Here is a 16,346-nt window from a genome sequence, read left to right as displayed (position 1 = left end):
GGTTTCAAAGAACTTATTTATTTCCACCTTAACTTTGTTATTTACTCAGTAGTCATTCAGAAGCAGGTTGATCAGTTTCCATGTAGTTGTGCGGTTTTGAGTGAGTTCACACCCAAATTCTACCAGAGGTACAAAGAGGAGCTGGTACCATTTTTTCTGAAAATATTCCAAACAATCGAAAAAGAGGGACTCCTCCCTAACTCATTTTATGAGGCCAGCATCATCCTGATACCAAAACCTGGCAGAGACACAACAAAAAAAGAAAATTTCAGGCCAATATCCCCAATGAACATCAATGCGAAAATCCTCAATAAAATACTGGCAAACCGAATCCAGCAGCACATCAAAAAGCTCATCCACCACAATCAAGTCAGCTTCATCCCTGGGATGCAAGGCTGGTTCAACATACACAAATCAATAAATGTAATCCATCACATAAACAGAACCAATGACAAAAACCACATGATTATCTCAATAGACGCAGAAAAGGCCTTCAGTAAAATTCAACACCCCTTCATGCTAAAAACACTCAATAAACTAGGTATTGATGGAAGATTTCTGAACAGGCAAAGAATGGAAGCATTCCTTTTGATAGCCAGCACAAGACAAGAATGTCCTCTTTCACCACTCATATTCAACATAGGATTGGAAGTTCTGGCCAGAGCAATCAGGCAAGAGAAAGAAATAAAGCGTATTCAAATAGGAAGAGAGGAAGTCAAATTGTTTGTTTGCAGATGACTTGATTGTATATTAGAAAACCCCAACGTCTCAGCCCAAAAACTCCTTAAGCTGATAAACAATTTCAGCAAAGTCTCAGGATACAAAATCAATATGCAAAAACCACAAGCATTCTTATACACCAATAACAACAAACAGAGAGTCAAATCATGAGGGAACTCCCATTCACAATTGCTACAAAGAGAATAAAATCCCTAGGAATACAACTTACAAGGGATATGAAGGACCTCTTCAAAAACTACAAACCACTGCTCAAGGAAATAAGAGAGGACACAAACAAATGGAAAATCATTCCATGCTCATGAATAGAAAGAATCAAGGTCATGAAAATGGCCATACTGCCCATAGTAATATATAGATTCAATACTATTCCCGTCAAGCTACCATTGACTTTCTTCAAAGAATTAAAAAAAACTACTTTAAGTTTCATATGGAACCAAAAAAGAGCCCATATAGCCAAGACAATCCTAAGCAAAAAGAACAAAGCAGGAGGCATCACGCTACCTGATTTCAGACTATACTACAAGGCTACAGTAACCAAAACAGCATGGTACTGGTACCAAAACAGATATATAGACCAGTGGAACAGAACAGAGGCCTCAGAAATAACACCACACATCCACACATTGACAAACCTAATAAAAACAAGCAATGGGGAAATGATTTGCTATTTAATAAATGGTGTTGGGAAAACTGGCTAGCCATATGCAGAAAACTGAAACTGGACTTCTCCCTTATACCTTACACAAAAATTAACTTGAGATGGATTAAAGACTTAAATGTAAGACCCAAAACCATAAAATCCCTAGAAGAAAACGTAGGTAATACCATTCAGGACATAGGTATGGGCAAAGACTTCATGACTAAAACACCAAAAGCAATGGCAAAAAAAAGCCAAAATTGACAAATGGGATATAATTAAACTAAAGACATTCTGCACAGCAAAAGAAACTATCATCAGAGTCAACAGGTAACCTACAGAATGGGAGAAAATTTTTGCAATCTATCCATCTGACAAAGGGCTAATATCCAGAATCTACAAAGAACTTAAACAAATTTACAAGAAAAAAACAAACAACCCATCAAAAAGTGGGTGAAGGACATGAACAGACACTTCTCAAAAGAAGATATTTATGTGACCAACAAACATATGTAAAAAAGCTCATCATCACTGGTCATTAGAGAAATGCAAATCACAACCACAATAAGATACCATCTCACACTAGTTAGAATGGCAATCATTAAAAAGTCAGGAAACAACAGATGCTGGAGAGGATGTGGAGAAACACGAACACTTTTACACTGTTGGTGGGAGTGTAAATTAGTTCAACCATTGTGGAAGACAGTGTGGCGATTCCTCAAGGATGTAGAACCAGAAATATCATTTGACCCAGCAATCCCATTACAGGGTATAAATCCAAAGGATTATAAGTCATTCTACTATAAAGACACATGCACACATATGTATATTGCAGCATTATTCACAATAGCAAAGACTTGGAACCAACCCAAATGTCTATCAATGACAGACTGGATAGAGAAAATGTGGCACATATACACTATGGAACACTATGCAGCCATAAAAAAGAATGAGTTCATGTCCTTTGCAGGGACATGGATGAAGCTGGAAACCATCATTCTCAGCAAACTAACACAGGAACAGAAAACCAAGCACTGCATGTTCTCATTCATAAGTGGGAGTTGAACAATGAGAACACATGGACACAGGGAGGGGAACGTCACACACCGGGGCCTCTCAGGGGCTGGGGGCAAGGGGAGATACAGCATTAGGAGAAATACCTAATGTAGACGATGGGTTGATGGGTGCAGCAAATCACCATGGCACATGTATACCTATATATCAAACCTGCATGTTCTGCACATGTATCCTAGAACTTAAAGTATAATAAAAAAAAAGAAAAGAAAAAAATGTTTCCAGATGATTCTGCATCTTAGTCTTGAATCCTCCTAGTTTCATTGAGGAAAGATAACTTCTTATTGCTGTTCCCTATCTAAATCTCTGACCCAAAGGATCTGTAAGTATAACAAAACGGTTTGATTCCCCACTAACTTTGGGGTGCAGTGGTTTATCATGCAGCAATAGATAAGCAGAGTAATTTTAAATATTAAGCTCACTTTTTAAATTTTTTCCTATAAAGATATATTAAATAACTACCATGGACCAGGCACCATGCTAGGCCCTGGAGATGAAGAAGACAGAAAAGACAGATGTGATGTATGCTCTTGTCTAGATTACATGCCAACTGGGGGAGACAGACAAACACAAAAAGATAATTACAAACTGTGTAAGTACAATAAAGGAAATAGCAGACTAAAGTGTTAGAGAGCTTCTGGTAGAAAGGATACTTAGAGGTTTTCGAGGAGATAATATTTTAGCTGAGACCTTGACTCTGTTTTAGACTACCCCTTGTTTTACAGATATAGAATATGTGGCCCACACTATGGAGGGGACAGATAGGACCCAGGCCTCCTGACTCCTGTTCTCTGTTAGTCCAGCCTCTTCCAGAGAAGGGAATACTAACTTATAAAGATATCTTTGTTTGTTTGTTTTTTTCATGCAAGAACACACAAAAGCATGAGGTCTATTCCAATTATTTTCTTCATAGTGAGACAAAAATTACTTGGGAAGGAGAATAGTAATAATGATGGCTAACATGTATTGAATAATTCTGCTCCATGTGTTGCAATAAGCAGTTTCTATTGTTCGATGTGAATCCTTCAAAGAAGAATGTCAGATATGAGTTATTGGAGGCAAAAGTGCACCAATGCTGAGGGAAGGGGACACAGAAATGGAAAAGGAAATCTGAGAGATCTGGGTGGAGCACCAACAGCAACCACTTTCAGTACACCCTTTGCACCACTCGATGGACTCACATTTTATCATCCTGTCATGGTTTCTTTAAGATGGCAGTTGTCATAATTTCTAGAGAAAACTAACAATAGGAGGGTAGTAATATGAACTAGCCTCTACTGCTGCATTTAGCTCTGAGGCCTTAGCTGATATTTATCATCTCCCTCCTCTACCATCCATTTGAGATTATTTTCATAGTTGGTGAACACTTGCACTGGTTTAGGTTGCTTGACAGGTGTGATGACCCAGATTTTTATTTCTGAGGGGTCAGGGTCCCTGGTTATGATGCCATCTATTCATAGTTAAAATGAGCAGGAGGGATGAGAAACACAAAATACATCAATTCCATCTTTTCAAAATATTATTTTCATTACATTATTAAATTTCTAGCAATGAAATGAAGATGAGAAAAAAATAAGAAGTGTTTCTTTTTGCCTCTGTGACTTTCGTTATTAAGCTTCTTTAACTTTACTATACATTTTCACAGGGAGGGGGAATTAGAACTGCTCTGTTTACTTCCCTAGAGGCAGAAATAAAACCATGAAGTTGAAGATACAGGAAGTGGATTCCATACAAAGGTTTATAAAGTTTGAAATAAATTGACACGAGAAGATATGAGTTTCTTATTCTCTTATGTTAATGTATCTCAGGAGAGAAGAAAACCCACTTAAAACACTTCTAACCCATGAGTCCAAGACTTTAAGAATTACTACTTCATTTAACTTCATGTGCAAAGCCAAGGAAATCTAGGTAGATAGAAGGAAAATGAATATGACATTTATGTTCTATATCTAGTTTTTCCCAAACCAGAAATATACAAGAGGAGCTCATCATAAAATGAAGGTAAAGCAAAAAGGATTTAAGTTAGTTCAATTTTGTACTCAGATGTCTTTCAACTACCAACTCGGAAACCTTGCCATTTCGAGATAAAAAAAGTATAATAAGATACTATATAAGATAAATAAATAAGATTTATAAGATATAAGTAAACTATTAAAGAAATGCAAACATTAATCTTAGAAAGTAGGCCACTTGCAGTGGCTCAAGCCTGTAATCCCAATACATTGGGAGAGCAAAGCAGGAAAACTGCTTGAGCCCAGGAATTCGAGAGCAGCCTAAACAACAGAGTGAGACCTCTCTCCAAAACACAAACATTTAAAAAAAATTAGCTGAACACAGTGGCACGTGCCTACAGTCCCAGCTACTTGGGAGGCTGAGGTGAGAGGATCACTTGAGCCCAAAAGTTCGAGGCTGCAGTGAGCTGTGATCACGCCACCACTGCACTCCAGCCCAAGTGACAGAGCGAGACCCTGTCTCACAAGAAAAAAAAAAAAAAAGAGTTATCACACTGGATTGTCTAAGAAACCAGAAACAAGGTGCATTTCCTAAGAGCTCTGTCCGGGGTTTGATCTGCCCCATACAAAACAAACACTTCACTTCTCATTGAATAGAGTGAAATGAAGCTTCCTGGAAAATGGAAAAGACACCTAGGTGTGTAGTGGTAATGAACAGGAAGTCAAGAAACAAAGTCCAGACACTGCCACTGTGTAGTGATTTGAACTTACACAAACATATTACCTCTCGGGATTTGGACAATACGATCTCTAGCTTCTCTATAAGTTTTAATATTCTGTGTTTCTAAGTGCAGCTTCAGATAAGTCTTGTGATCTAATTGCAGAAATCTATATCTAAGCTGTCAGTTCTTGAGAAAACGCACAATTATAAACAGTCCTAAATTGTTAGGCTACCTCAATTGAGAATTCTGCCCTATTTTTAGCACTGGAGGAGAAACAATGCTTCTAACATTTATAATTTATTTCATAAGAACCTTTAAGCTTTAAAATTGTCACACCTCTGTCATAATGATAAACACTCATTTCATTCATACACATAAAATTAGCATTTATTCTGGCTTGTGAGCAAACTCCAATCATTTTAATTGTTGGGGAATCATAGTAATCTTCCCTACGTACATTGCATTTCTGAATTCTGTAAAATCTTCTTTTGTATTGTCAATGAAAAGAGTTAAACTCTGTAAAATATTTGAAGGGATTTATTGTGAGTGAAATAGGAGTGGCCACGGCTCATGACACAGCCCTCAGGAGACCCTAAGAACATGTGCCCAACGTATTCTGGTTGCAGCTTGATTTTATACATTTTAAGAAGACATAAGACATCAATCAAATACATTTAAGCTATACATTGGTTCGGTCCAGAAAATCAAGACAACAACTCGACATGGGGGGACTGTGGGGCTTTCCTGGTTATAGGTAGATTTTTTAAATTGTCTAACTGGCAATTGGTTGAAAAAGTTATTATCAATAGAAAGGAGTATCTGGGTTATGATAAGAGGTTGTGGAGACCAAAGTTTTATCATGCAGATGAAGTCTCCAGTTACCAGGCTTCAGAGAGAATAGATTGTAAATGCTTCATACCAGACTTAAGGTCTGTGCTGATGTTGAATGCTGGTTGGGTTTTCCTGAATTCCAGAAGGGAGGAAGGCATAATGAGGCACGTCCAATCCCCTCTTCCCATCATGACCTGAACCAGTCTTTCGAGTTAACTTCAGAGTGCCCTTGAGGCATTTCCAGGAGGAGGGAGTCCATTCAGATACTTGTTGGTGGGGGGAGCTTTGAATTTTATTTCTGGTTTACAGTAAGTATACTGAGTAGGAAGGACATATTCGAACATTTTTCATTCCATATCAGGTTCACACGGACCTATTTCTCTTTGAAAAAAAGATTGTTCCTTTTTAGTACAAAAAGATTAGGTAAATATTCAAATACAGCAGATTGCAAATTGACTGCTGTTGATCAAGCAGGTCTCAGCTTAGGCATCACTTCTTGCCAGAAGTCTGCAAAGGCACCTTTATTTAACACAATAGTTCTCACCTGTATGCAATTTTGCTCCTTTCCCCAGGGGACATTTGGAAATGTCTAGAGACATTTTTGTTTGTGAAAATGTGGGAGGAGGGTACTACTAGCAACTAGTGGGTAGAGGCCGGGGCGCTGCTAAATATCTTACAATGCACAGGGCAGCCATCCCAACAAAGAATTCTCTGTCCCAAATGTCAGTAGGGCTGCTATTGAAAAACTGCAATTTAACCCATGGTAGCACTTACCATACTGTATTAGCTTTGCATGGTTCCTGCTCCTGTACAACAAGAACATGCTTTGTTTTTCATTATGTTTCCTGTGTACCTTGTATGCATTAGATAGACGGTAAAAATGAAATGACTGGCTGGCTGAGTGAATAAATGAAGTTACTAATTATACACAAATGAAGGAAACAGAAACAAGACCACAGCATTTTTATTGTTAATAAAATATTTTTAGATTGTCTAGTTAAAATGTTCACAGTTTACAAAGCACTTTAAAATCATTATTGTGCGTGATCCAACGACGCAGCTAAGCAAGTAGAGCAAAAATTATTAACCTCATTTTTACAAAGAAGACGCTGATTCTCAGAGGAGTTAAGAGGCTTGCCAAATGTAAATGATAAGAAGTGATCCAGCTTTGGAGGTTTTTCACAAAGCCCTTATTGATTTGTAACAACATTTAGGCACTTGGCAATAATCACTTAACTGTGGAGTGGATGTTACAGGATCTCTTTAGTACTTCCAAAGAGGAGAAGTTTTACCTTTGGGCTATAAGAACCTAATAAACCACTCAACTTCAGCTAACAAAAGCAAGCAAGTGTCATTAAGAAAAAGATAGCTACTGGCTTTTAGAAGAGTTGGCCTAATAATACAGTACAATTATAGGATAATGTGTCACTTGGCAATTCCCTTACAGGTAGCTTAAAGATGCCAAGAAAATGGCTTAAGTCATGACTAAAACAAATCATTCCTTGTTAAACCCCAAATCAGCCAGATTTCCTGCACACTTAGAACACAGAATATGTAGAAGGTGGATTTCAAAACAGATTCCCTAGATTTGAAACCCAACTCTGCAACTTACTATTTCTTTGGGCAAATACCTTAACATCTATGTATGTACCTTCATTTACTTAACTGTAAAGTGAGTGGTATAATAATAACCATCTCATAGGATTGTTGAGAGGGTAAACTTTCATATACATGAAGCATTTAGAACAATGCCTGACATGGAGCAACTGCCCAATAACTAACTTTCTTTTCTTTCTTTCTATAATTTTTTTCTTCTCTTTCTCCTTCTTTCTTTCTTTCTCCTCCCCACCTCCTGCCTCTCCTCCTTCTCCACCTCCTCCGCCTCCTCCTCCTCTGCCTCCTCCTCCTTTTCCTTCTTCATTTCTGTGCATTTTTCCATGTAAAGAATTTCCTTGGAGATAGATAAGCCACATCAACATGCAATATGTTTATGTTTCTCACATATTTCAAATGTGTGTTTCAGAATCTACAAATCAACTTTGACTCATGAAGTGAATATTTGTACTTCTTGGCTCCCCAGCATCCTACTCAACTCCACTTCTTTGGCAATAAACCCAGTTCTTTTGTGGAGATTGGCTCACTTAGGTGGTGTACAATTGTTATGGAACTATATATAATGGTGTCCTGCTCTCTTACAATCTCAGGGTGGGGGGATGTTGGATCCAAGTTTAATGCATGGACTTTTCTTCCAGGGACTCTGAATCTTGAAATGAAAGATATAAACACCAAAAACAAACACAAGAATTCTAGAATCTATTTGTTACAGTAACAACTACATGAGGAGACTGGCAAGTAAATAATTCCTGCTATCTAAACTTTAGAAGCCATCCTGGTACCTGGCTGTATTAGGTTATCATGGCTGCTATAACAAAGTATTACAAAGTGCGTAGCTTAAACAACAGAAATGTATCATCTCACAATTCTCGGAGCTAGAAGTCCAAGGTCATGGAATTGGCATAACTGGTTCCTTCTGAGGGAAAAATCTCTTCTGTTCCCCTCTTTCCTAGCTTCTCGTGGTTGCCAGCAACATTTGGCATTCCTTGGCTTGTAGATGTCATAGTCCAACCTATGCTTGGTGCCCATACAGCATTCTTCCTATGTGTGTTTCTTCACATGGCATTCTTTTCTAAGGACACCAGTAATATTGGATTAGGAATCCACCCTGCCTGGTATGACCTCACCCTAATTTAACTAATTAATCTGCAATGAGTCTATTTCAAAGTAAAATTACCTTCTGAGCTACTGGAGGTTATGACTTCAACAAATGAATTTTGAGAGAACACTAATCAACTCATTACACTGGCCTTTATACCTTTGATAGCACTAGTACCATCACTATTCTGTGAGCTGTTCAACTTTCTTCCAATAAATTTCTTTCCTTAGTAACGATTTCCTTCTTAGAGTCTATTTCTGTTGCTTGCCACCAGAAAATCCTAACTGCCACAAGTCATATCACTGATAAGTTTAACCTCAATAAAATTGTTTTGCTGGTAGTTTATTATTCAAAATAAAATTGATACTTTTCATGTTACCTAGAATTAGCTCACACTATGCAGGAAAAAGACAAATTGTATAGCTTAAAATTACTGGAGCAAACCTAAGTAAATTATATTACTAATTGTAACAAAATAGAAAAACATAGGTATGAAATACAGTGTGCACAATTTTTCATATTTCAGGTTGAGAAAAAATTGAAAGTCATGTTTATCTCTAAAGAAGACAATTATGATGGGAAACTGTCTCATGGATTTTTTTTATTGATATTCAAATTAGTGCAACCATTTTGGAGGACAACAATATCTTTCACTACCTTTGAAGTGTGTACCCTTCAATCTTGCAAATATATTTCTAGGAATTTATTCTACAATAATACCTGTGCACATGAACAAACATTTGTAAAGAATGTTTTTTGCAGCTCTGCTAATAAGAGTAAAATGTTGGAAAAATATAAACACTCAAGATGTATTAAAAAGTTAAAAATTAGGTAGATTTACATGCACTTTTATGAAAAAATGTTTTCGTTGTCAAAATAAAAAGTTGAAGACTGCTATATGCAATGATGTTCTTCTATTACAAAATAAAAATTCTATAGGCATATGTACCCATATATATGTATATTTATAAACATATCTAATGGGGGACCTGCAGTTATAGTCTAAAACAGTTAATAGTGCGTCCATGACAGAGTGGAACTGGTTACAAGAATGCTCAGGGATCCTTTTGTATTTCAGTTTACATATTTCTAATTTTTTTACAATGCACATATATTTCTTGCATAAAAAATAAATTAATGTCGTTCATATCTAAATAATAAAAGAGCTCTTTTAAAATAAATTCTCTTTGCCTCACCAGTCTTGACCTATATAATGTTAATTATAATCTCATGTACATGTATGCAAACATAAAATAAATCTAGGAGGCATTAACTCATTAAGCTAAATCGAATGCAAAATAAAAAATAAAATTTTGTTTTAACTAAAGTAAAAATTTGATACTGGATCATCAATTTTTGGTTTAACAGCATGTGGTAAACATAAGCTACACCATCCAGGTCACCTTTCAAGAAAGGAATTACTGACCAGCTGTGAAGAGTGTAGTCAGCAAGCAGGTTCCAGCTGTCACCTTCTTCAAGGTTTGCCTCAGTTGTAGCCCCCTGACTCAAGGTCACGCCTTTCCTGGAGCAGCCTGTATCTCGTGAGAATGGGTATAAAGGCCCACCATTCAGCTTGATACGGGACAGCTCTAACCATCAGAGCTTGCCAAGGGATCCCTGCCGGGGTGGCTGAGATATAATTGGTCTGCATCACCGTTCATCTCCTTCTTCTTCCCACACCTGTCTTCTTCCCCTTTCTTTCACAGATAATGATCCCAAATAAACATCTTGCACCCCAAGCACTGTGCTTCCAGAAAATTTAATCTGCAACACAGTAGAAAAATGCAGTCTGTGGTTCTCTAATTTTTACTTTGATAACATTAATACCAGGAATGGATATTTACTTAACAACACTTAACAGTATTAATAACATCGAGCCTATATTTGCTATTCAATAAAACAAAGAGTAACTTGTGTGCTTAATACAATTCTTTTTTGTTACCATTACTTAGTGATTCAGCTGTGCCCAGTAGTTAAAAGCTCCAACAGCTCATCTTCCCATTATGTAGAAGAGAAAATCTCTAATGAAATATTATACTAAAGAAGATTCAGAGCAAATGGAAACTCTGCAAAAACATAAACAATTGCTGGGTGAAAATATTGCACTAAACAGGCAGTTATTTCAATGAGGCATTATACCAGCTACCAATTATTTCATAAAACATTGCATGCAACATGGACAACAACTCAGAAACATACCTCACAGGATAATTATTCAAGGCTACTCAATAAATGTTTACTCCAAACTGGCAATTATTTCTTTAATGATGATGATACGCATGCAGAAGGAGTTTGCAAAAACAACCATGAATAGATATGTTGAAGGGAACCTACGCTTCTACCAGAGTCTAAGGTTAGAAGGCTTTTAAGAAGATAAACAAGAAGAGCTAACTATCCTAAATATATATGCACCCAATAAAGGAGTACCCGGATTCATAAAGCAAGTCCTGAGTGACCTACAAAGAGACTTAGACTCCCACACAATAATAATGGGAGACTTTAACACCCCACTGTCAACATTAGACAGATCAACGTGACAGAAAGTTAACAAGGATACCCAGGAATTGAACTCACCTCTGCACCAAGCGGACCTAATAGACATCTACAGAACTCTCCACCCCAAATAAACAGAATATACATTTTTTTCAGCACCACACCGCACCTATTCCAAAATTGACCACATACTTGGAAGTAAAGCTCTCCTCAGCAAATGTAAAAGATCAGACATTATAACAAACTGTCTCTCAGACCACAGTGCAATCAAACTAGAACTCAGGATTAAGAATCTCACTCAAAACCGCTCAACTACATGGAAACTGAACAACCTGCTCCTGAATGACTACTGGGTACATAACGAAATGAAGGCAGAAATAAAGATGTTCTTTGAAACCAATGAGAACAAAGACACAACATACCAGAATCTCTGGGACACATTCAAAGCAGTGTGTAGAGGGAAATGCATAGCACTAAATGCTCACAAGAGAAAGCAGGAAAGATCCAAAATTGACACCCTAACATCACAATTAAAAGAACTAGAAAAGCAAGAGCAAACACATTCAAAAGCTAGCAGAGGCAAGAAATAACTAAAATCAGAGCAGAACTGAAGGAAATAGAGACACAAAAACCCTTCAAAAAATAAATGAATCCAGGAGCTGGTTTTTTGAAAGGATCAACAAAATTGATAGACCGCTAGCAAGACTAATAAAGAAGAAAAGAGAAAAGAATCAAATAGATGCAACAAAAAAATGATAAAGGGGATATCACCACCGATCCCACAGAAATACAAACTACCATCAGAGAATACTACAAACACCTCTACGCAAATAAACTAGAAAATCTAGAAGAAATGGATAAATTCCTCGACACATACACCCTCCCAAGACTAAACCAGGAAGAAGTTGAATCTCTGAATAGACCAATAACAGGCTCTGAAATTGTGGCAATAATCAATAGCTTATCAACCAAAAAGAGTCCAGGACCAGATGGATTCACAGCCGAATTCTACCAGTGGTACAAGGAGGAACTGGTACCATTCCTTCTGAAACTATTCCAATCAATAGAAAAAGAGGGAATCCTCCCTAACTCTTTTTATGAGGCCAGCATCATTCTGATACCAAAGCAAGGCAGAGACACAACCAAAAAAGAGAATTTTAGACCAATATCCTTGATGAACATTGATGCAAAAATCCTCAATAAAATACTGGCAAACCAAATCAAGCACAGCACATCAAAAAACTTATCCACCATGAACAAGTGGGCTTCATCCCTGGGATGCAAGGCTGGTTCAATATATGCAATTCAATAAATGTAATCCCGCATATAAGCAGAACCAAAGACAAAAACTACATGATTATCTCAATAGATGCAGAAAAGGCCTTTGACAAAATTCAACAACTCTTCATGCTAAAAACTCTCAATAAATTAGGTATTGATGGGACGTATTTCAAAATAATAAGAGCTATCTATGACAAACCCACAGCCAATATCATACTGAATGGGAAAAACTGGAAGCATTCCCTTTGAAAACTGGCACAAGACAGGGATGCCCTCTCTCACCACTCCTATTCAACATAGTGTTGGAAGTTCTGGCCAGGGCAATTAGGCAGGAGAAGGAAATAAAGGGTATTCAATTAGGAAAAGAGGAAGTCAAATTGTCCCTGTTTGCAGATGACATGATTGTATATCTAGAAAACCCCATTGTCTCAGCCCAAAATCTCCTTAAGCTGATAAGCAACTACAGCAAAGTCTCAGGATACAAAATCAATGTACAAAAATCACAAGCATTCTTATACACCAATAACAGACAAACAGAGATCAAATCATGAGTGAACCCCATTCACAATTGCTTCAAAGAGAATAAAATACCTAGGAATCCAACTTACAAGGGATGTGAAGGACCACTTCAAGGAGAACTACAAACCACTGCTCAATGAAATAAAAGAGGATACAAACAAATGGAAGAACATTCCATGCTCATGGGTAGGAAGAATCAATATTGTGAAAATGGCCATACTGCCCAAGGTAATTTATAGATTCAATGTCATCCCCATCGAGCTACCAAGGACTTTCTTCACAGAATTGGAAAAAACTACTTTAAAGTTCATATGGAACCAAAAAAGAGCCACATCGCCAAGTCAATCCTAAGCCAAAAGAACAAAGCTGGAGGCATCACACTACCTGACTTCAAACTATACTACAAGGCTACAGTAACCAAAACAGCATGGTACCGGTACCAAAACAGAGATATAGATCAATGGAACAGAACAGAGCCCTCAGAAATAACGCCACATATCTACAATTATCTGATCTTTGACAAACCTGAGAAAAACAAGCAATGGGGAAAGGATTCCCTATTTAATAAATGGTGCTGGGAAAACTGGCTAGCCATATGTAGAAAGCTGAAATTGGATCCCTTCCTTACACCTTATACAAAAATTAATTCAAGATGGATTAAAGACTTAAACGTTAGACCTAAAACCATAAAAACCCTAGAAGAAACTTAGGCATTACCATTCAGGACATAGGCATGGACAAGGACTTCATGTCTAAAACACCAAAAGCAATGGCAACAAAAGCCAAAATTGACAAATGGGATCTCATTAAACTAAAGAGCTTCTGCACAGCAAAAGAAACGACCATCAGAGTGAACAGGCAACCTACAACATGGGAGAAAATTTTCGCAACCTAATCATCTGACAAAGGGCTGATATCCAGAATCTACAATGAACTCAAACAAATTTACAAGAAAAAAACAAACAACCCCATCAAAAAGTGGGCGAAGGACATGAACAGACACTTCTCAAAAGAAGACATTTATGCAGCCAAAAAACACATGAAAAAATGCTCATCATCACTGGCCATTAGAGAAATGCAAATCAAAACCACAATGAGATACCATCTCACACCAGTTAGAATGGCAATCATTAAAAAGTCAGGAAACAACAGGTGCTGGAGAGGATGTGGAGAAATAGGAACACTTTTACACTGTTGGTGGGACTGTAAACTAGTTCAACCATTGTGGAAGTCAGTGTGGCGATTCCTCAGGGATCTAGAACTAGAAATACCATTTGACCCAGCCATCCCATTACTGGGTATATACCCAAAGGACTACAAATCATGCTGCTATAAAGATACATGCACACGTATGTTTATTGCAGCACTATTCACAATAGCAAAGACTTGGAACCAACCCAAATGTCCAACAATGATAGACTGGATTAAGAAAATGTGGCACATATACACCATGGAATACTATGCAGCCATAAAAAATGATGAGTTCATGTCCTTTGTAGGGACATGGATGAAATTGGAAATCATCATTCTCAGTAAACTATCGCAAGAACAAAAAACCAAACACCGCATGTTCTCACTCATAGGTGGGAATTGAACAATGAGAACACATGGACACAGGAAGGGGAACATCACACTCTGGGGACTGTTTGGGGGTGGGGGGAGGCGGGAGGTGGAGGGATAGCATTAGGAGATATACCTAATGCTAAATGACGAGTTAATGGGTGCAGCACAACAGCATGGCACATGTATACATATGTAACTAACCTGCACATTGTGCACATGTATCCTAAAACTTAAAGTATAATAATAATAAAATTAAAAAACATTTAAAAAAAAATCTAGTTGAAATTTAAAAAAAAAAAAAGAAGATAAACATAAGTGAAAAAAGAAATTCTTTTTAGCTGGGTGCAGTGGCTCACGCCTGTAATCCCAGCACTTTGGGAGGCCAAGGCAGGCGGATCACCAGATCAGCAGATTGAGACCATCCTGGTGAACACGGTGAAACCCCGTCTCTACTAAAAATACAAAAAAATTAGCCGGGCGTGGTGGCGGGCACCTGTAGTCCCAGCTACTGGGTGGGCTGAGGAAGGAGAATGGCGTGAACCCGGGAGGCGGAGCTTGCAGTGAGCCGAGATCGCCACTGCACTGCAGCCTGGGCGACAGAGCGAGACTCCGTCTCAAAAAAAAAAAAAAAAAAAAAAAAAAAAAAATCGTTTTTGCTGAACAAGCTCTTTCCTCTACATTTGTTCATTTATTTTATCAATTTATTCATGAAATATGTGTTACTTACTTTATCTTCTAAACTATTGGGATAAAGAGATAAACTCAAGAAGGAGTTTACGATAATTTGGGAAGTGTGTTGCAAGAAAGATACAAAAACTTGTCCCTGTTCCTGTCTTTCCAAGTCCATTCCTACCACTCTTCCCTTCTGTCAGCCAACTCTAGATCATTTTTATTTTCTCAACTTTCCAAATTTATCCCTAGGTAGGCTGTTTTCCTCTGCTGTCTCCTCTATATTTGTACTGTCCAATATAGTAGTGACTAATAATGTGGCTATTGAGTCCTTGAAATGCAGTTTCCCTGAATTGAAATGTGCTATAAATTTAAAATATTCATTAGATTTTAAAGATTTTGCACAAAAGAGACCACAAATAATGTGCTAATATTGTTACATTAATAAATAATATTTTGTAAATATTGGGCTCTATAAAATACATTATTAAAATTAATTTTACCTTTTTTTTAGTGTGACTACTAAAAAGTTTAAAATTATATAGTGTTTCGTATTTGATTTTAATGACAGATCTGGTCTAGAAAATTCCAACCTATTCATGCTTGTGTCTTCGCATTCCAGTGTCAGTTTATTGTCCTCTCTTCAAAGAAGCTTTTTCTGACCACCATTCTAAAGAAGACACATCAGCTTCACCCACCTAGTCACTCTCATATTACCCTTTATTGTGCATTTGTTAAAAAATAATAACATGAAATATACCTGAGAAAAAATTTTAAATGTATAGTACAGTGTTGTTAACTACATGTACATTGTTGTATGGCAGATCACTAGAACTATTTTATCTTGCATAGCTAAAACTTTATACCCATTGTACAGCCACCTCCTATTTCCCTCTTTCCCTGGCCCCTTTCCTCAGCCCCTAGCAACCACAATTATACTTTCTACTCTTATGATTTTGACTGCTTGAGATATATAAGTGAAATCATACAGTATCTGCCTTTCTATAACTGGCTTATTTCACTTAATATCCTTAAGGTTTATCCATGTTTTCACATATAAACAGATGTCCTTCTTTTTTAAGGTTGAATAATATTTTATTGCTTATACACATGTACACATTTTCTTTATCTATTCAATCATCAATGGACAC

The sequence above is a fragment of the Homo sapiens genome, chromosome 11, assembly GCF_000001405.40.
Source record: "Homo sapiens chromosome 11, GRCh38.p14 Primary Assembly".
Lineage (NCBI taxonomy): Eukaryota > Metazoa > Chordata > Mammalia > Primates > Hominidae > Homo > Homo sapiens.
The sequence above is the reverse complement of the archived record's forward strand: the minus strand, read 5'-3'. Positions refer to the sequence as shown.